This window comes from Homo sapiens, chromosome 8 (assembly GCF_000001405.40).
Source record: "Homo sapiens chromosome 8, GRCh38.p14 Primary Assembly".
Classification (NCBI taxonomy): domain Eukaryota; kingdom Metazoa; phylum Chordata; class Mammalia; order Primates; family Hominidae; genus Homo; species Homo sapiens.
The window spans coordinates 101,669,941-101,691,542 of NC_000008.11; the positions used below are offsets into that span (position 1 = coordinate 101,669,941).

Consider the following 21,602-nt stretch of genomic DNA (forward strand, 5'->3'; position numbering starts at 1 on the left):
GACCACGGCAGGCTCCCCAGGGTGGTTATTCTTGGCCAGTCCCTTTGGGCAGGGAGTTGGTTCTGTTCACTTGCTTCTGCCCATCCTCACTCCCAGGCCCACTCGCCCGCCCTTGAATTCCCACAAAAGCTTTCTGCTTCCTTAGTTCACCTGCACCAACCTCTGCATGGAGGCTGAAACCATGTGGCTCTAACTCCAGTTTTCTCACAATCTCTTGCCCTGGAACCCACAGGCTCCCTAAGATCTGTTGGCTCGAATGTGAACACCTGGATGCACTATCCCAGTATCTGCTGGGGTTTCCTTGGTGGGTACCACTCTGTGGAGCCACCCACACTCCTTTAACTGCTGTCCATGATTATCTCCCAAGAGCAGCTCTGTTCCAAACAAGTAGCATTTCTACATTCTTCTACATCTTCCCATCTCTCTGTCTATACATGTCCACAGCTTTCAAATCTTGGCTAAACATCATTTGCCTTCAGGAAGCCTCCCTTGACCAACTTCAACCCCAGCAGCATCTCCAGCAGCCTCTGTGCCTAGACCAGGGACTGGGAAGTGAGGGCATGGAGGAAGCGCTCATTGCAGAGTCTTCTGGAGAGATCCTGGGATTAGAAATGGGCTCCAAGGCTTGTTGTCATGACTGTGTTCCACAGCCTCATTAGGAGGTCTTGGTGCTCTCCCCAGCTGTCCAAGTAGGTCCAGCTGAGGATACGAGCTGGTCTCCACATCTCCTGAGGCAGCCTCCCCCTTGGCCTGTGGCAGCCACGGTCCTGCTGTTAGGTGCTCGCCATGTGTGCCAACCAGTTCCCTGGAATGAGACGCTGGTTGGATAGGCGATGACGGTTGTCAGTGTCGTGAAGTTCAGTACCAGCTCTTGTCTCCCACTCTCTACACTGATTCAGTTCGATTACTCTGGACCTGATGTTTTGCCGTGTGCTGGAGAGAGAGGCAAGTTAGACACAGTCTGCCCTCATAGGAGGTGGGGTGCAAAAGGATAGTGATCTGGAAACTTTGGGGACTCAGGAATTCTATAGTGGGGCCTCTGATCAGCCAGAAGCAGCAAGAAAGAGGAAGAGGATGGTGAAAAGGCACCAAGGGGGGTGGAGCCAAGATGGCTACATAGGAACAGCTCCGGTCTACAGCTCCCAGCATGAGCAATGCAGACGACGGTTGATTTCTGTATTTCCATCTGAGGTACCGGGTTCATCTCACTAGGGAGTGCCAGACAGTGGGTGCAGGACAGTAGGTGCAGTGCACCCTGCGCAAGCTGAAGCAGGGCGAGGCATTGCCTCACTCGGGAAGCGCAAGGGGTCAGGGAGTTCCCTTTCCTAGTCAAAGAAAGGGGTGACAGACGGCACCTGGAAAATCCCACCCTAATACTGTGCTTTTCCAATGGGCTTAAAAAATGGCACACCAGGAGATTATATCCCGCACGTGGCTCGGAGGGTCCTACGCGCATGGAGTCTCGCTGATTGCTAGCACAGCAGTCTGAGATCAAACTGCAAGGCGGCAGCGATGCTGGGGGAGGGGCACCTGCAAGCTGGGGGAGGGGCACCTGCAATTGCCCAGGCTTGATTAGGCAAACAAAGCAGCTGGGAAGCTCGAACTGGGTGGAGCCTACCACAGCTCAAGGAGACCTGCCTGCCTGCCTCTGTAGGCTCCACCTCTGGGGGCAGGGCACAGACAAACAAAAAGACAGCAGTAACCTCTGCAGACTTAAATGTCCCTGTCTGACAGCTTTGAAGAGAGCAGTGGTTCTCCCAGCACGCAGCTGGAGATCTGAGAACGGGCAGACTGCCTCCTCAAGCGGGTCCTTGACCCCCAAGCAGCCTAACTGGGAGGCATCCCCTAGTAGGGGCAGACTGACATCTCATATGTCCGGGTACTCCTCTGAGACAAAACTTTCAGAGGAACGATCACGCAGCAGCACTTGCAGTTCACCAATATCGACTGTTCTACAGCCACCGCTGTTCTGCAGCCACCGCTGCTGATACCCAGGCAAACAGGGTCTGGAGTGGACTTCTAGCAAACTCCAACAGACCTGCAGCTGAGGGTCCTATCTGTTAGAAGGAAAACTAACAAACAGAAAGGACATCCACACCAAAAACCCTTCTGTACGTCACCATCATCAAAGACCAAAAGTAGATAAAGCCACAAAGATGGGGAAAAAACAGAGCAGAAAAACTGGCAACTCTAAAAAGCAGAGCACCTCTCCTCCTCCAAAGGAATGCAGCTCCTCATCAGCAGCGGAACAAAGCTGGATGGGGAATGACTTTGACGAGCTGAGAGAAGAAGGCTTCAGACGATCAAACTACTCCGAGCTACAGGAGGAAATTCAAACCAATGGTAGAGAAGTTAAAAACTTTGAAAAAAAATTAGACGAATGGATAACTAGAATAACCAATGCAGAGAAGTCCTTAAAGGAGCTGATGGAGCTGAAAGCCAAGGCTCGAGAACTACGTGAAGAATGCAGAAGCCTCAGGAGCCAATGCAATCAACTGGAAGAAAGGGTATCAGCAATGGAAGATGAAATGAATGAAATGAAGCGAGAAGGGAAGTTTACAGAAAAAAGAATAAGAAGAAACAAACAAAGCCTCCAAGAAATATGGGACTATGTGAAAAGACCAAATCCATGTCTGATTGGTGTACCTGAAAGTGATGGGGAGAATGGAACCAAGTTGGAAAACACTCTGCAGGATATTATCCAGAGAACTTCCCCAATCTAGCAAGGCAGGCCAACGTTCAGATTCAGGAAATACAGAGAACGTCACAAAGATACTCCTCGAGAAGAGCAACTCCAAGACACATAATTGTCAGATTCACCAAAGTTGAAATGAAGGAAAAAATGTTAAGGGCAGCCAGAGAGAAAGGTCGGGTTACCCTCAAAGGGAAGCCCATCAGACTAACAGCTGATCTCTCGGCAGAAACCCTACAAGCCAGAAGAGAGTGGGGGCCAATATTCAACATTCTTAAAGAAAAGAATTTTCAACCCAGAATTTCATGTCCAGCCAAACTAAGCTTCATAAGTGAAGGAGAAATAAAATACTTTACAGACAAGCAAATGCTGAGAGATTTTGTCACCACCAGGCCTGCCCTAAAAGAGCTCCTGAAGGAAGCGCTAAACATGGAAAGGAACAACCGGTACCAGCCGCTGCAAAATCATGCCAAAATGTAAAGACCATCGAGACTAGGAAGAAACTGCATCAACTAATGAGCAAAATAACCAGCTAACATCATAAGGACAGGATCAAATTCACACATAACAATATTAACCTTAAATGTAAATGGGCTAAATGCTCCAATTAAAAGACACAGACTGGCAAATTGGATAGAGTCAAGACCCATCTGTGTGCTGTATTCAGGAAACCCATCTCACGTGCAGAGACACACATAGGCTCAAAATAAAGGGATGGAGGAAGATCTACCAAGCAATTGGAAAACAAAAAAAGGCAGGGGTTGCAATCCTAATCTCTGATAAAACAGACTTTAAACCAACAAACATCAAAAGAGACAAAGAAGGCCATTATATAATGGTAAAGGGATCAATTCAACAAGAAGAGCTAACTATCCTAAATATATATATTTAGGATATATATATTTGCTCCAATACAGGAGCACCCAGATTCATAAAGCAAGTCCTTAGAGACCTACAAAGAGACTTCGACTCCCACACAACTTTGACACCCCACTGTCAACATTAGACAGATCAACAAGACAGAAAGTTAACAAGGATACCCAGGAATTGAACTCAGCTCTGCACCAAGAGGACCTAATAGACCTCTACAGAACTCTCCACCCCAAATCAACAGAATATACATTTTTTTCAGCACCACACCACACCTATTCCAAAATTGACCACATAATTGGAAGTAAAGCACTCTTCAGCAAATGTAAAAGAACAGAAATTATAACAAACTGTCTCTCAGACCACAGTGCAATCAAACTAGAACTCAGGACTAAGAAACTCATTCAAAACCGCTTGACTACATGGAAACTGAGCAACCCGCTCCTGAATGGCTACTGGGTACATAACGAAATGTAGGCAGAAATAAAGATGTTCTTTGAAACCAACGAGAACAAAGACACAACATACCAGAATCTCTGGGACACATTCAAAGCAGTGTGTAGAGGGAAATTTATAGCACTAAATGCCCACAAGAGAAAGCAGGAAAGATCCAAAATTGACACCCTAACGTCACAATTAAAAGAATTAGAAAAGCAAGAGCAAACACATTCAAAAGCTAGCAGAAGGCAAGAAATAACTGAAATCAGAACAGAACTGAAGGAAATAGAGACACAAAAAACCCTTCAAAAAATTAATGAATCCAGGAGCTGGTCTTTTGAAAAGATCAACAATATCGATAGACCGCTAGCAAGACTAATAAAGAAGAAAAGAGAGAAGAATCAAAAAGATGTAATAAAAAATGATAAAGGGGATGTCACCACTGATCCCACAGAAATACAAACTACCATCAGAGAATACTACAAACACCTCTACGCAAATAAACTAGAAAATCTAGAAGAAATGGATAAATTCCTCGACACATACACCCTCCCAAGACTAAACCAGGAAGAAGTTGAATCTCTGAATAGACCAATAACAGGCTCTGAAATTGAGGCAGTAATCAATAGCTTACCAACCAAAAAAAGTCCAGGACCAGATGGATTCATAGCCGAATTCTACCAGAGGTAAAAGGAGGAGCTGGTACCATTTCTTCTGAAACTATTCCAATCAATAGAAAAAGAGGAAATCCTCCCTAACTCATTTTATGAGGCCAGCATCATCCTGATACAAAAGACTGGCAGAGACACAACCAAAAAAGGGAATTTTAGACCAATATCCTTGATGAACATTGATGCAAAAATCCTCAATAAAATACTGGCAAAACGAATCCAGCAGCACATCAAAAAGCTTATCCACCATGATCAAGTGGGCTTCATCCCTGGGATGCAAGGCTGGTTCAACACATGCAAATCAATAAATGTAATCCAGCATATAAACAGAACCAAGGACAAAAACCACATGATTATCTCAATAGATGCAGAAAAGGCCTTTGACAAAATTCAACAACCCTTCATGCTAAAAACTCTCAATCAATTAGCTATTGATGGGACGTATCTCAAAATAATAAGAGTTATCTATGACAAACCCACAGCCAATATCATACTGAATGGGCAAAAACTGGAAGCATTCCCTTTGAAAACTGGCACAAGACAGGGATGCCCTCTCTCACCACTCCTATTCAACATAGTGTTGGAAGTTCTGGCCAGGGCAATTAGGCAGAAGAAGGAAATGAAGGCTATTCAATTAGGAAAAGAGGAAGTCAAATTGCCCCTGTTTGCAGATGACATGATTGTATATCTAGAAAACCCCATCGTCTCAGCTCAAAATCTCCTAAAGCTGATGAGCAACCTCAGCAAAGTCTCAGGATACAAAATCAATGTGCAAAAATCACAAGCATTCTTATACACCAATAACAGACAAACACAGAGCCAAATCATGAGTGAACTCCCATTCACAACTGCTTCAGAGAGAATAAAATACTTAGGAATCCAACTTACAAGGGATGTGAAGGACCTCTTCAAGGAGAACTACAAACCACTGCTCAAGGAAATAAAAGAGGATACAAACAAATGGAAGAACATTCCATGCTCATGGGTAGGAAGAATCAATATCGTGAAAATGGCCATACTGCCCAAGGTAATTTATAGACTCAACGCCATCCCCAACAAGCTACCAATGACTTTCTTCACAGAATTGGAAAAAACTACTTTAAAGTTCATATGGAACCAAAAAAGAGCCCGCATTGCCAAGTCAATCCTAAGCCGAAAGAACAAAGCCGGAGGCATCACGCTACCTGACTTCAAACTATACTACAAGGCTACAGTAACCAAAACAGCATGGTACTGGTACCAAAACAGAGATATAGATCAATGGAACAGAACAGAGCCCTCAGAAATAATGTCACATATCTACAACCATCTGATCTTTGACAAACCTGAGAAAAACAAGCAATGGAGAAAGGATTCCCTATTTAACAAATGATGCTGGGAAAACTGGCTGGCCATATGTAGAAAGCTGAAACTGGATCCCTTCCTTACACCTTATACAAAAATTAATTCAAGATGGATTAAAGACTTAAACGTTAGACCTAAAACCATAAAAACCCTAGAAGAAAACCTAGGCATTACCATTCAGGACATAGGCATGGGCAAGGACTTCATGTCTAAAACACCAAAAGCAATGGCAACAAAAGCCAAAATTGACAAATGGGATCTAATGAAACTAAAGAGCTTCTGCACAGCAAAAGAAACTACCATCAGAGTGAACAGGCAACCTACAGAATGGGAGAAAATTTTTGCAACCTACTCATCTGACAAAGGGCTAATATCCAGAATCTACAATGAACTCAAACAAATTTACAAGAAAAAAACAAACAACCCCATCAAAAAGTGGGCGAAGGATATGAACAGACACTTCTCAAAAGAAGACATTTATGCAGCCAAAAAACACATGAAAAAATGCTCAACATCACTGGCCATCAGAGAAATGCACATCAAAACCACAATGAGATACCATCTCACACCAGTTAGAATGGCGATCATTCAAAAGTCAGGAAACAACAGGTGCTGGAGAGGATGTAGAGAAATAGGAACACTTTTACACTGTTTGTGGGACTGTAAACTAGTTCAACCATTGTGGAAGTCAGTGTGGCGATTCCTCAGGGATCTAGAACTAGAAATACCATTTGACCCAGCCATCCCATTACTGGGTATATACCCAAAGGATTATAAATCATGCTGCTATAAAGATACATGCACACATATGTTTATTGCGGTACTATTCACAATAGCAAAGACTTGGAACCAACCCAAATGTCCAACAACGATAGACTGGATTAAGAAAATGGGGCACATATACACCATGGAATACTATGCAGCTATAAAAAATGATGAGTTCATGTCCTTTGTAGGGACATGGATGAAACTGGAAACCATCATTCTCAGCAAACTGTTGCAAGGACAAAAAAACAAACACCACATATTCTCACTCATAGGTGGGAATTGAACAATGAGAACACATGGACACAGGAAGGGGAATATCACACTCCAGGGACTGTTGTGGGGTGGGGTGAGGGGGGGATAGATAGCATTAGGAAATATACCTAATGCTAAATGAGGAGTTAATGGGTGCAGCACACCAGCATGGCACATGTATACATATGTAACAAACTTGCACATTGTGCACATGTACCCTAAAACTTAAATAATAACAATAATAATAATAAAAATAAAGAAAAGGCACCAAGATGAACATCACCTGCTTGATCCCTGGCAGCAAACACCCCTCATAGACCACTGAGGAAAGAACTTGATGTCTGTTCTGCCATGGGTTGTAGGTGTAAGCTACTTTGTAATTGTTTTCAAGGCATTGGCTGTGAGCTTGGGTTTCCTACTTCTTTGCTAATAACCCCGACCATCTCCACCCCCACGCCTACCTCCAAGATTGTATATAGTGCTTGGTTCTATGTTCGGCTGCCACTAAACACTGAACAGGAACCAAATAAAGTGATTAAATACTGGTATTGGAAAAAAAAAATACATCTTGAGACAGTGTCTTTACCTGTCTGTCTTCATGAGGATTATGTATTGGTAGCAGAGGTGAGTATTTAATAAGAGTTAGAAGGCCCCACTACCCCTGCATTTTGAAGTATTTTCACCATTTCTTTTAAGGAACTATACAATGTCAGCCATTTCCTGGAAAAGTGTTAGAAAAAAAGTCATGAAATAAGGCTGGGATGCTCTCAGAATAATCATTGTGCGCATTCCCAAGGGTGTCTGGGACCATACATTTTATGTTAGCACCCAGTACAGCAAGTGCCCAGGACCTAAGTCCTGGACATGTGGTCAGCGTTCACTGTAGAGAACCCTGCTTGAAATGAATAGATCATTGGTGATACCCTCAGCCTGAACATCTTTCCCTATGCAATAATCTGTCTTAGGTGGATTTGACTGATATTCTACTGACTTACAAAACATAAGACTCAACATTTTTTTCTCTGTTTCTTCGGCCACCTCAAAAACCAGAAAATTTCAGTAAAGTGTTCAGCACACTTCCGGCGAAGACAAGCGAGGGAAGAGAAGGAGGTCCGGAATAGGAACAGCTCCAGTCTACAGCTCCCAGCGTGAGCGACGCAGAAGACGGGTGATTTCTGCATTTCCATCTGAGGTACTGGGTTCATCTCACTAGGGAGTGCCAGGCAGTGGGCGCAGGTCAGTGGGTGCGCGCACCGTGTGCGAGCCAAAGCAGGGCGAGGCATTGCCTCACTTGGGAAGCGCAAGGGGTCAGGGAGTTCCCTTTCCTAGTCAAAGAAAGGGGTGACGGAAGAACCTGGAAAATCGGGTCACTCCCACCCGAATACTGCGCTTTTCCGACGGGCTTAAAAAACGGCGCACCACGAGATTATATCCCGCACCTGGCTCGGAGGGTCCTACGCCCACGGAGTCTCGCTGATTGCTAGCACAGCAGTCTGAGATCAAACTGCAAGGTGGCAGCGAGGCTGGGGAGGGGCGCCCGCCATTGCCCAGGCTTGCTTAGGTAAACAAAGCAGCCGGGAAGCTCGAACTGGGTGGAGCCCACCACAGCTCAAGGAGGCCTGCCTGCCTCTGTAGGCTCCACCTCTGGGGGCAGGGCACAGACAAACAAAAAGACAGCAGTAACCTCTGCAGACTTAAATGTCCCTGTCTGACAGCTTTGAAGAGAGCAGTGGTTCTCCCAGCACGCAGCTGGAGATCTGAGAACGGGCAGACTGCCTCCTCAAGCGGGTCCTTGACCCCCAAGCAGCCTAACTGGGAGGCACCCCCCAGCAGGGGCACACTGACACCTCACATGGCAGGGTATTCCAACAGACCTGCAGCTGAGGGTCCTGTCTGTTAGAAGGAAAACTAACAAACAGAAAGGACATCCACACCAAAAACCCATCTGTACATCACCATCATCAAAGACCAAAAGTAGATAAAACCACAAAGATGGGGAAAAAACAGAACAGAAAAACTGGAAACTCTAAAAAGCAGAGCGCCTCTCCTCCTCCAAAGGAACGCAGTTCCTCACCAGCAACGGAACAAAGCTGGATGGAGAATGACTTTGACGAGCTGAGAGAAGAAGGCTTCAGACGATCAAATTACTCTGAGCTACGGGAGGACATTCAAACCAAAGGCAAAGAAGTGGAAAACTTTGAAAAAAATTTAGAAGAATGTATAACTAGAATAACCAATACAGAGAAGTGCTTAAAGGAGCTGATGGAGCTGAAAACCAAGGCTCGAGAACTACGTGAAGAATGCAGAAGCCTCAGGAGCCAATGCAATCAACTGGAAGAAAGGGTATCAGCAATGGAAGATGAAATGAATGAAATGAAGCGAGAAGGGAAGTTTAGAGAAAAAAGAATAAAAAGAAATGAGCAAAGCCTCCAAGAAATATGGGACTATGTGAAAAGACCAAATCTACTTCTGATTGGTGTACCTGAAAGTGATGGGGAGAATGGAACCAAGTTGGAAAACACTCTGCAGGATATTATCCAGGAGAACTTCCCCAATCTAGCAAGGCAGGCCAACGTTCAGATTCAGGAAATACAGAGAACGTCACAAAGATACTCCTCGAGAAGAGCAACTCCAAGACACATAATTGTCAGATTCACCAAAGTTGAAATGAAGGAAAAAATGTTAAGGACAGCCAGAGAACAAGGTCAGGTTACCCTCAAAGGGAAGTCCATCAGACTAACAGCTGATCTCTCGGCAGAAACCCTACAAGCCAGAAGAGAGTGGGGGCCAATATTCAACATTCTTAAAGAAAAGAATTTTCAACCCAGAATTTCATGTCCAGCCAAACTAAGCTTCATAAGTGAAGGAGAAATAAAATACTTTACAGACAAGCAAATGCTGAGAGATTTTGTCACCACCAGGCCTGCCCTAAAAGAGCTCCTGAAGGAAGCGCTAAACATGGAAAGGAACAACCGGTACCAGCCGCTGCAAAATCATGCCAAAATGTAAAGACCATCGAGACTAGGAAGAAACTGCATCAACTAACGAGCAAAATAACCAGCTATCATCATAATGACAGGATCAAATTCACACATAACAATATTAACCTTAAATGTAAATGGGCTAAATGCTCCAATTAAAAGACACAGACTGGCAAATTGGATAAAGAGTCAAGACCCATCAGTGTGCTGTATTCAGGAAACCCATCTCACGTGCAGAGACACACATAGGCTCAAAATAAAAGGATGGAGGAAGATCTACCAAGCAAATGGAAAACAAAAAAAGGCAGGGGTTGCAATCCTAGTCTCTGATAAAACAGACTTTAAACCAACAAACATCAAAAGAGACAAAGAAGGCCATTACATAATGGTAAAGGGATCAATTCAACAAGAAGAGCTAACTATCCTAAATATATATGCACCCAATACAGGAGCACCCAGATTCATAAAGCAAGTGCTTAGTGACCTACAAAGAGACTTAGACTCCCACACATTAATAATGGGAGACTTTAACACCCCACTGTCAACATTAGACAGATCAATGAGACAGAAAGTTAACAAGGATACCCAGGAATTGAACTCAGCTCTGCACCAAGTGGACCTAATAGACATCTACAGAACTCTCCACCCCAAATCAACAGAATATACATTTTTTTCAGCACCACACCACACCTATTCCAAAATTGACCACATACTTGGAAGTAAAGCTCTCCTCAGCAAATGTAAAAGAACAGAGATTATAATAAACTATCTCTCAGACCACAGTGCAATCAAACTAGAACTCAGGATTAAGAATCTCACTCAAAGCCGCTCAACTACATGGAAACTGAACAACCTGCTCCTGAATGACTACTGGGTACATAACGAAATGAAGGCAGAAATAAAGATGTTCTTTGAAACCAATGAGAACAAAGACACAACATACCAGAATCTCTGGGACGCATTCAAAGCAGTGTGTAGAGGGAAATTTATAGCACTAAATGCCCACAAGAGAAAGCAGGAAAGATCCAAAATTGACACCCTAACATCACAATTAAAAGAACTAGAAAAGCAAAAGCAAACACATTCAAAAGCTAGCAGAAGGCAAGAAATAACTAAAATCAGAGCAGAACTGAAGGAAATAGAGACACAAAAAACCCTTCAAAAAATTAATGAATCCAGGAGCTGGTTTTTTATAAGGATCAACAAAATTGATAGACCGCTAGCAAGACTAATAAAGAAGAAAAGAGAGAAGAATCAAATAGACACAATAAAAAATGATAAAGGGGATATCACCACTGATCCCACAGAAATACAAACTACCATCAGAGAATACCAGAAACACCTCTACGCAAATAAACTAGAAAATCTAGAAGAAATGGATAAATTCCTCAACACATACACTCTCCCAAGACTAAACCAGGGAGAAGTTGAATCTCTGAATAGACCAATAACAGGATCTGAAATTGTGGCAATAATCAATAGTTTACCAACCAAAAAGATTCCAGGACCAGATGGATTCACAGCCGAATTCTACCAGAGGTACAAGGAGGAACTGGTACCATTCCTTCTGAAACTATTCCAATCAATAGAAAAAGAGGGAATCCTCCCTAACTCATTTTATGAGGCCAGCATCATCCTGATACCAAAACCAGGCAGAGACACAACGAACAAAGAGAATTTTAGACCAATATCCTTGATGAACATCGATGCAAAAATCCTCAATAAAATACTGGCAAAACGAATCCAGCAGCACATCAACAAGCTTATCCACCATGATCAAGTGGGCTTCATCCCTGGGATGCAAGGCTGGTTCACTATACGCAAATCAATAAATGTAATCCAGCATATAAACAGAGCCAAAGACAGAAACCACATGATTATCTCAATAGATGCATAAAAAGCCTTTGACAAAATTCAACAACCCTTCATGCTAAAAACTCTCAATAAATTAGGTGTTGATGGGATGTATCTCAAAATAATAAGAGCTATCTATGACAAACCCACAGCCAATATCATACTGAATGGGCAAAAACTGGAAGCATTCCCTTTGAAAACTGGCACAAGACAGGGATGCCCTCTCTCACCACTCCTATTCAACATAGTGTTGGAAGTTCTGGCCAGGGCAATTAGGCAAGAGAAGGAAATAAAGGGTATTCAATTAGGAAAAGAGGAAGTCAAATTGTCCCTGTTTGCAGATGACATGTTTGTATATCTAGAAAACCCCATTGTCTCAGCCCAAAATCTCCTTAAGCTGATAAGCAACTTCAGCAAAGTCTCAGGATACAAAATCAATGTGCAAAAATCACAAGCATTCTTATACACCAACAACAGACAAAGAGAGAGCCAAATCATGAGTGAACTCCCATTCACAATTGCTTCAAAGAGAATAAAATACCTAGGAATCCAACTTACAAGGGATGTGAAGGACCTCTTCAAGGAGAACTACAAACCACTGCTCAAGGAAATAAAAGAGGATACAAACAAATGGAATAACATTCCATGCTCATGGGTAGGAAGAATCAATATCATGAAAATGGCCATACTGCCCAAGGTAATTTACAGATTCAATGCCAAGCCCATCAAGCTACCAATGACTTTCTTCACAGAATTGGAAAAAACTACTTGAAAGTTCATATGGAACCAAAAAAGAGCCCGCATTGCCAAGTCAATCCTAAGCCCAAAGAACAAAGCCAGAGGCATCACGCTACCTGACTTCAAACTATACTACAAGGCTACAGTAACCAAAACAGCATGGTACTGGTACCAAAACAGAGATATAGATCAATGGAACAGAACAGAGCCCTCAGAAATAACGCTGCATATCTACAACCATCTGATCTTTGACAAACCTGAGAAAAACAAGCAATGGGGAAAGGATTCCCTATTTAATAAATGGTGCTGGGAAAACTGGCTAGCCATATGTAGAAAGCTGAAACTGGATCCCTTCCTTACACCTTATACAAAAATCAATTCAAGATGGATTAAAGACTTAAACGTTAGACCTAAAACCATAAAAACCCTAGAAGAAAACCTAGGCATTACCATTCAGGACATAGGCATGGGCAAGGACTTCATGTCTAAAACACCAAAAGCAATGGCAACAAAAGCCAAAATTGACAAATGGGATCTAATGAAACTAAAGAGCTTCTGCACAGCAAAAGAAACTACCATCAGAGTGAACAGGCAACCCACAAAATGGGAGAAAATTTTCGCAACCTACTCACCTGACAAAGGGCTAATATCCAGAATCTACAATGAACTCAAACAAATTTACAAGAAAAAAACAAACAACCCCATCAAAAAGTGGGCGAAGGACATGAACAGACACTTCTCAAAAGAAGACATTTATGCAGCCAAAAAACACATGAAAAAATGCTCAACATCACTGGCCATCAGAGAAATGCAAATCAAAACCACAATGAGATACCATCTCACACCAGTTAGAATGGCAATCATTAAAAAGTCAGGAAACAACAGGTGCTGGAGAGGATGTGGAGAAATAGGAACACTTTTACACTGTTGGTGGGACTGAAAACTAGTTCAACCATTGTGGAAGTCAGTGTGGCGATTCCTCAGGGATCTAGAACTAGAAATACCATTTGACCCAGCCATCCCATTACTGGGTATATACCCAAAGGACTATAAATCATGCTGCTATAAAGACACATGCACACATATGTTTATTGCGGCATTATTCACAATAGCAAAGAGTTGGAACCAACCCAAATGTCCAACAATGATAGACTGGATTAAGAAAATGTGGCACATATACACCATGGAATACTATGCAGCCATAAAAAATGATGAGTTCATGTCCTTTGTAGGGACATGGATGAAATTGGAAATCATCATTCTCAGTAAACTATCGCAAGAACAAAAAACCAAACACCGCATATTCTCACTCATAGGTGGGAATTGAACAATGAGATCACATGGACACAGGAAGGGGAATATCACACTCTGGGGACTGTGGTGGGGTGGGGGGAGTGGGGAGGGATAGCATTAGGAGATATACCTAATGCTAGATGACGAGTTAGTGGGTGCAGCGCACCAGCATGGCACATGTATACATATGTAACTAACCTGCACAATGTGCACATGTACCCTAAAACTTAAAGTATAAAAAAAAAAAAAAAAGACCTTGTCTTATACCTTAGGATCATCACTGCAAAAATAATAAAATCAACTAACATTCAAAAAAAAAAAAGTCAACACATATATATATATGTGTGAGAGATATATATCATATCTCTCATATCACATATTACATATGTGAGAGATATATGATATATATATCATATATGTAAGAGATATGTATCATATTTCTCATATATATATATGATATACATGGTAAAGAGTGCTCTGCAATTGTTGGATATAATGTTCTATAAGCCAAATTAGGTCAGTTTGGTTAATGTCATTCTAAACTTCTGTATCCTTTTCTTTTGTATGCTTTTTCTATTAGTTATTGAAATTGGTCATAGCCTATGATTGTAGATTTGTATATGACTCCTTTAGTTCTTTCAACTTTTGCTTTATACAATTAAATTTTGTGCTAATTAGGTATTGAAAACTTTGTGATTTTATAGCTTGCTATGGACTTAACCCTTTTATGACTTTGAAATGTACATCTTTATATTTTGCACTTCTACTTAAGATCTACTTTTTTCACTATTAATTTAACCATATAATTTTTCTTTTTGTTAATATATGGTAGACTTATTTTTGTCTTTATACTTTTTAACTATGTATTCATACATATGCTTACAATGTTACTTCTGTAAACAGAATAAAACTGCATTTTTTTCAAAAAAAAAAAAAGACATTTATGCAGCCAAAAAACACATGAAAAAATGCTCATCATCACTGGCCATCAGAGAAATGCAAATCAAAACCACAATGAGATACCATCTCACACCAGTTAGAATGGCAATCATTAAGAAGTCAGGAAACAACAGGTGCTGGAGAGGATGTGGAGAAATAGGAACACTTTTACACTGTTGGTGGGACTGTAAACTAGTTCAACCATTGTGGAAGTCAGTGTGGCGATTCCTCAGGGATCTAGAACTAGAAATACCATTTGACCCAGCCATCCCATTACTGGGTATATACCCAATGGACTATAAATCATGCTGCTATAAGGACACATGCACACGTATGTTTATTGTGGCATTATTCACAATAGCAAAGACTTGGAACCAACCCAAATGTCCAACAATGATAGACTGGATTAAGAAAATGTGGCACATATACACCATTGAATACTATGCAGCCATAAAAAATGATGAGTTCATGTCCTTTGTAGGGACATGGATGAAACTGGAAACCATCATTCTCAGCAAACTATCGCAAGAACAAAAAACCAAACACTGCATATTCTCACTCATAGGTGGGAATTGAACAATGAGACCACATGGACACAGGAAGGGGAATATCACACTCTGGGGACTGTGGTGGGGTGGGGGGAGGGGGAAGGGATAGCATTGGGAGATATACCTAATGCTAGATGACGAGTTAGTGGGTGCAGCGCACCAGCATGGCACATGTATACATATGTAACTAACCTGCACAATGTACACATGTACCCTAAAACTTAAAGTATAATAATAAATAAATAAAAAAAAAAGAGAGAACCACCAAAGCAAAAAAAAAAAAAAAAAAAAAGGGAAGGAGGTCCATTCTTTCAAAGGCAGTTCTTATGCTCTCCTTTCTACCTTGACTGAGAGAACACTTGGACTCTTCCTCAGCTGGTGGGTACCGAACTAGGATGTGTGGGGACTCAGTTGGGTTGGGGCAGCAGAACAATGTCCTGAAAATAGGAGCCTCAGGTTTGGAAATTTGCTGAAAATTCCCAGGTTGCTGGTAGGCAGGCTCCTGATGAGATTGGAGACGCCCAGCCACCTTCTCAGGATCAGACTTGTGTTATTCATGCTCAGGACTCATGGTGTCAGGGCCATCACTGGTCCATAGTGGCCAACTGTGTGCAGTAGGAAGACTCCCTCGAGGGCAACTCTGCCCCCACACATGGTCTAGTTGGCCCGTGAAGTTCTCCCACAGCTAACACTCAAGTTAGCAAGATGGCAGCTCCTTTTCTCTACAGTAACGGCCTCCTGTGCTGGAGGCAAGGCCAATGACAGCAACAGCCAACACCATGATTGGAACTGGCTTTCAGAGTGTAGGCTCTGCCTCATGTCATCTTTTTCACTGAACCTTCTCAGGCTGAGAGGGGTGAAGAGGTTATTTATTTCCTGAAGCTTACCCAGATCCCATTGAAGGGGAGGTTGCCTCAGTTTCTCCCTTTATTGTACCTAACATTTGGACTCTAGTTTGAGGAAGGAGAGGATATGGGAAGGAAGTGTAGACCATGGAGGGAGGGATGTAAGGAAGCCCATATGAAGACCAAGGATGCCTTTGGACAGAACTTTGGGGTCAGCAGCCTCTCTCATCCCCCCTCACAAACCTTGGTTCCTTGTGTCACTCTAGGCAGGAAAAATACCCAGGAGGAGGCTAGTATCAGAAGCTAGAGCCTCAGTAAGGCACAGATTCAGCTGGGGCAGCAGTTTAGGCATGAAAATCTCATGAAAATCATGTTAAACCAAAAACATGCTTTAATGCCAGGCAAGAGCTACACAGTCAACTGATTTACGGGCCACTCCATAGGCTATGATTTATAAATTATATATTATTAAATCCACCGTGGGCATACAGATGGGATGGGACAGCACCCCCAGCTCCCTCCCACTCTGAATGATGTATGAACAGTTGAGCACTCTGTAGAATCCTTCAGGTCGTAAGCCACTTTATTCCAGTCCCTTGAACATCACAGGCTGGTTTTATTTGGGACAGAACAGGTTTTATTTCCAAAGGTCCCTGAACACAGCAATGACAATGAACAGCCCAGCAGAGGAGTGACATAAACCTTGAGGCATGCAGTCTTCTGGGTGCTGTGGAGTCCCTTGGCCAAACTTGAGTGCACTGGATTCGACATACAAAGACCTTCCTGGGAAGGAGAAGGAGAAAAACAACCTCCGAGAAAATACAGACAGGGTCAGTGGCAGGCCAGGACAGGGACTATTTCTATACATTCTGGAAGTGTCGGCATTCATCAGCCTGCATGTGGCTCACTTTTCTTTCTGGAATAGCCGGAGACCTCTACTCCTCACTCCAGCTCTAGGTTCCAAGGAACAGAGTGGGTCTGGCTCAGCGAGATGTCATGACTAAGGGCAGAGCCCAGGCAGGTTTCTCAAAACATTAACTGATTCCACCTACCAAAGGAGAATCAAAGGAAGGAACTAGGACTTCGATTCAGAGCAGGGAAAAGTGGGATGCAGCTCCTGAGCACTGCCAATAGGGCATGCTAGGTCTCCTCACCCAGTCTGCCTTCTGTGTCTTAGGTTAATTCGCTATTTTCCAAACACAGATTTTAACACTTGGCCATGGAGGAATTTGGCAAGTTTTGGTACAGAACCACTGTGAGGAACTGACCCCTGGAGGAAGACTAGGATTATTTTTACAGAGTCTAGGTCTCAAAATTTCACCCTATGGATTTGGTTCTTTTTGGTCTACCATACAAATTTGGATTTCTGCTGCCAATTACAGCAGACTCAAGTCATATATAAAAACCTGGAGGTTAGCATGTCTAGTCACATTTTTCTCCTGGTCATGATGTCTCTCTTTCTGTGGTTCCTCTTCTTTGGCAAGTGGCTTGGCAGCAAATATACCCACTAGGGACCTCTCTGCCTTCTCTTAGTGGCAAGTTCCCCATCAACAACCTTGAGAATTTGGGCCTCCCTTTGCTAACTACTTGCAAGAGTATGACTCGCCTGTAACCAGCAAATTTTTACTCTTAGCTTTCAATTCAAATTAGTGTGTCTGAGGTCACCAGACCAAACAGCAACTCAGACTTGTGCTGTCACTTCTGGAAATAGAAGTCTGCATTCAAAGAGCACGGCAATGGAAAATACTTTTGGATTCTCCATAGGGGGGCCTTGGAAACCACAGACACACTTGCCCATGTCTTTATGATGAATTTGATGACTGCCCAACCTCTGATTCTTTAACAGGGGCAGGGAAACTGAATATTCCAGACCTGGCTCCCTAACCATGCACATAGATTAAACCACTGGGAAGTTCCAAGAATGTATGTGATGTTTTTTCGAGTCTGCAGAGTATTGATCTGCTCAGAAAAGCACCATGCCGCCAGTCTAATGCTGTCAATGGGCTGCTGGGCCTGAGAGGGAAACCACCCTACTGGTCCCCTGTCATACATGTTAACATTCCTGTGCTCCAATTGTCCTGTCCCACTACCACCTGCTCTGCATCTGCCCTCTAGGCATGGCCACTCTGGAAATGCATTCAAAATTAAAGTTGGGCCCTAGTCAGGGTTACTTTGTATTTTTATGGAATATATAAAATATACTTGTCGATTGGTACATTTGTGCAAAGACAGATATGACTTCCAAACAAGACAGACATTCATTATAGTTGTCTTACTTCACAATAAGCTACTAAAAACAGTCTTCTGGAATAAGATTGTATTAGTGCTCACTAAACATGCATTTCATTTAAACAAGGCAAAACACTTAATTTGGTCTGCATTACCCAATATGTTATATACAGCCGTCTTTTTATTTTATCACAATAGGCAACAAGATGGGTCTGGTTTTGGAATATGTTACCATTTGTGTTTAATTTCCAAAGACACGCATATTAGCTCAACTAGTGTAAACCTGTGAAAAAATAGCTGAGCCATCTTTTTCCTCTCCTCTGTTAATTTATCTTGAAATGTTCACAGCTTAGAAACTACAGCCTGCTGGGGAAGAGAGGGGAGTGGGCCCCCATGGGGAAATGTCCCAGCTCGCTGGAATAGCCTCACCCCAGAGGGTAACTTGTTCTTGGGGAATCCAGCATCCGGTGCCATCCATCACCCCTACGGCACGTGTGACAACAGATTCAGGTGGGGAGTTTTGTCTTTCAAACAAAAGCCCCTTGAAGCTTGCAATAGAATCACAGGACTGGATGGGTTTCCCTTCTTTTGCCCCAACCCCCGAGTCTTACGTTTTAGAACAGAGACATTAGAATAAAAAAAAATAATAGTAACGATTAAAAATCATCAAACAATGAACACCACGAAGTCTGTCCATGCTCTCCACAAGCACACTGGGGCTCTGGGCATTCCCACGAAGCATCCACGACAAAAGAAGCTGAAGGCGTCACGGAGGAAGGCGCATCAGACCGCACAGGGGACGGCATCACCATTGATATTGTTTGGCAAAAAAAAAAAAAAATTGTTAAAAAGAAGAATCAAAAGGGAACACAAGCAGCTCTACAATTCGATTGGTGGGCGCAGGGCTCAGAACTGGCCGGCACTGCTCGGGTCGCACTGCAGGAGGCGCACAATGGACGGGTCGCTTTTGGCTCCTCGGATGAACTCTTCCAGGGAGAGTTTTCCTAGGAAGCAAGAGGACAGGTGAGTGGTGGCTGGTGGCAGCTGCATGAGCTTACACCCTTCCCACTACTGCGTGCTGGGCAGTGTCGATTCACCTGCCTGCAGCCTCACTGCCACTGTGACACACAGCACTCACCTGTCCCGGGGAAGAGCCCAGTGGAATCTCCAGGAACACTGCTGCCTCATTCACCATGGCATTGCCAGCACTTAGGACAGTACATGTGGCAATCAAACGCCGCTGCCTGAGAGCCCACTGTGTGCCCGGCCCTGGGCCCGGGACTGGGGAGAGGGTGGTGGATGATGCTGACTTGGTCCCTGACCTCCTGGCTCCAGGCGCCCTGGAGAGGCTCACTCAGCATTTGTAAAGCAAGTGGCCCTCCTGCATTTATGAGAATGAGCTGGGCCCTGGCAGCACCCGGTTGGTTCCCATAATGTTCCCTGGAGCCTTCTGAGCCACTTCGTGTTCTTCAGGCCACTCTGTGTTCTTAGGTTTGCTGCAAGAGCCCATCCTATCTTGGGGAAGAAGCCGTGGACGTAAGTGTTTGTTCATACACCACGGGAAGACAGCTGTGCCTCCATCTGAGGTCAGGGAAGAGCAGGGTATGTTCAAGGCAGAGGGTAACCCATGGGTTTCTGCCTCTCAGTTAGGGTGCTCTCCTGCTACCCTGATGTGCTGGAGGAGGGAGGCTCAGCAGCCTGGGCTCCCACTCCGACCCCGGTGACCTTTCCTTTCTGCTTACTCTGGAGCACGTACAGAATTCTCTTCCAGGAAGGCCTGTCACTTGTGGAGAGGAGGGGAGGGGGTGGGGTAGGAGTTGGGGGACTGCAAGGCTTTTCCCATTCCTGGTGCTTCCAGAAGGACCCTTCCTCTTTGTCTACCCCGCCCCTGGGAGTGAAGTGACATGCTCGATTGGTAAATTTGGGAGGAATTGCTGGGCATCTCCGCCCAGCTTTGCCCTCCCTTTTTCTCTTGAAAGGAGCTGCCCCAGAGAGGATTTATTTCCATCTGCTCCTCCAAGGGCAGCACCCGGCCTGCCTGGCTCTGCACGCCTGTGGGTTTTTCAGCACGTCCTTGGACTCTCACGCTAAGCCATAGCCTCCAGTATCTATCTTTTGACCTCTGTCCTCTTTTATTTCTCAACTTACTCCAAACCTGACAGGAGGGGGCCTCCCCCAACAGAAACACCAACAAACATATCTTCTCCTCAGCCACAACTCCCTCCCCGCCAGAACCTAGTTCTTGTTTAATGAAACCCACTTTATCTCCATGAAGGAAAAAGATAGGGATGCATTTATTAATTTATTTTTAATTTGTAGAGCTGATCCCCTCCAAGCTCTGTGTGCTGGCCATTTTTTATGAGCCCAGCCCTGCCCACATAGTAGTTACAATGGTAATGACTTCCTCCAGCTTGGCAAGGCATGAGGGAAGGGAGACAGGCGTGATCTCTGAACACTTTGCAGTCTCTCAGGGGTCGGCTCTGGGAGGCACCAGCTGGAGGTAGCAGGGGCAGACCTGGAGCTCGGCATGACGTCTGGCTTTCTTCACTTAACTGTCTGCATGATTCAGAGTTGGCTCCTAGGAGAACTTGCCTGAGGGCCCAGATTTTTCTTTTCAAATCGGAGGCCAGAAGTTAGATTCCAAGAGCAACAGGCAAGCTAAATCTAAGGGTAGGAGACTCTAGGTGAGGACTGCTCTGCTCTCGGCAGGGAGGGGTGCAGGTGTCCTCAATCCTGGGGTCCAGCAGCCAAGCACTGAGCTGAAGCACCCAGTCTCCTGGTTGAGCTAAGATTCCTCTGACAGCTGTGAACTTACAGCCCCTCTTCCTCCTTCCTTCTACAGCTCCCACCCCCCTCTCCCAACCCTAACCTTTGAAAATTTAATTTAATTTTAAACATGAGGTTTTCCTTTGGAAAGGCACAGGTCTTTAGCAGTAAGTTGTGCTCTGAGAATGCTAACTCAGTCAGGGCTCTGCAATCCCATAGCAGCAGAGTCCCAGTGGAAAGACCCTAATTCATTGCCTGTGATCAACACACAGTTAGGGCTTTAGGGCTTTATCCTGTGACATCTGATCTTCTCCCATCCTTCAGCCCTATCCTGAAGAGCTGTCTGGACCTAGAGCACAGCACAAACCCATTGT

The 21,602-nt window shown here is 43.9% G+C and overlaps 2 protein-coding genes across 25 annotated transcripts in view; one reads left to right on the top strand and one right to left on the bottom strand.

Annotated features, from left to right (window-relative positions):
* The window catches only part of GRHL2 (grainyhead like transcription factor 2), a 188,762-nt gene extending 177,502 nt beyond the window's left edge, over positions 1-11,260 (top strand). Inside the window, exon 16 of the mRNA NM_001440447.1 lies at positions 8,086-11,260. Within this exon, the coding sequence (NP_001427376.1) occupies positions 8,086-8,098 (13 nt within the window). The 3' untranslated portion in view covers positions 8,099-11,260. The remainder of the gene's footprint in view (positions 1-8,085) is intronic.
* NCALD (neurocalcin delta) overlaps positions 16,602-21,602 on the bottom strand; it is a 438,366-nt gene continuing 433,365 nt past the window's right edge. For all 24 annotated transcript variants that reach the window (NM_001040630.2, XM_047422315.1, NM_001040627.2 and 21 more), the window contains one exon: positions 16,602-19,466. In NM_001040630.2, coding sequence (NP_001035720.1) covers positions 19,369-19,466 — 98 coding nt within the window. In that variant the 3' untranslated portion in view covers positions 16,602-19,368. The remainder of the gene's footprint in view (positions 19,467-21,602) is intronic.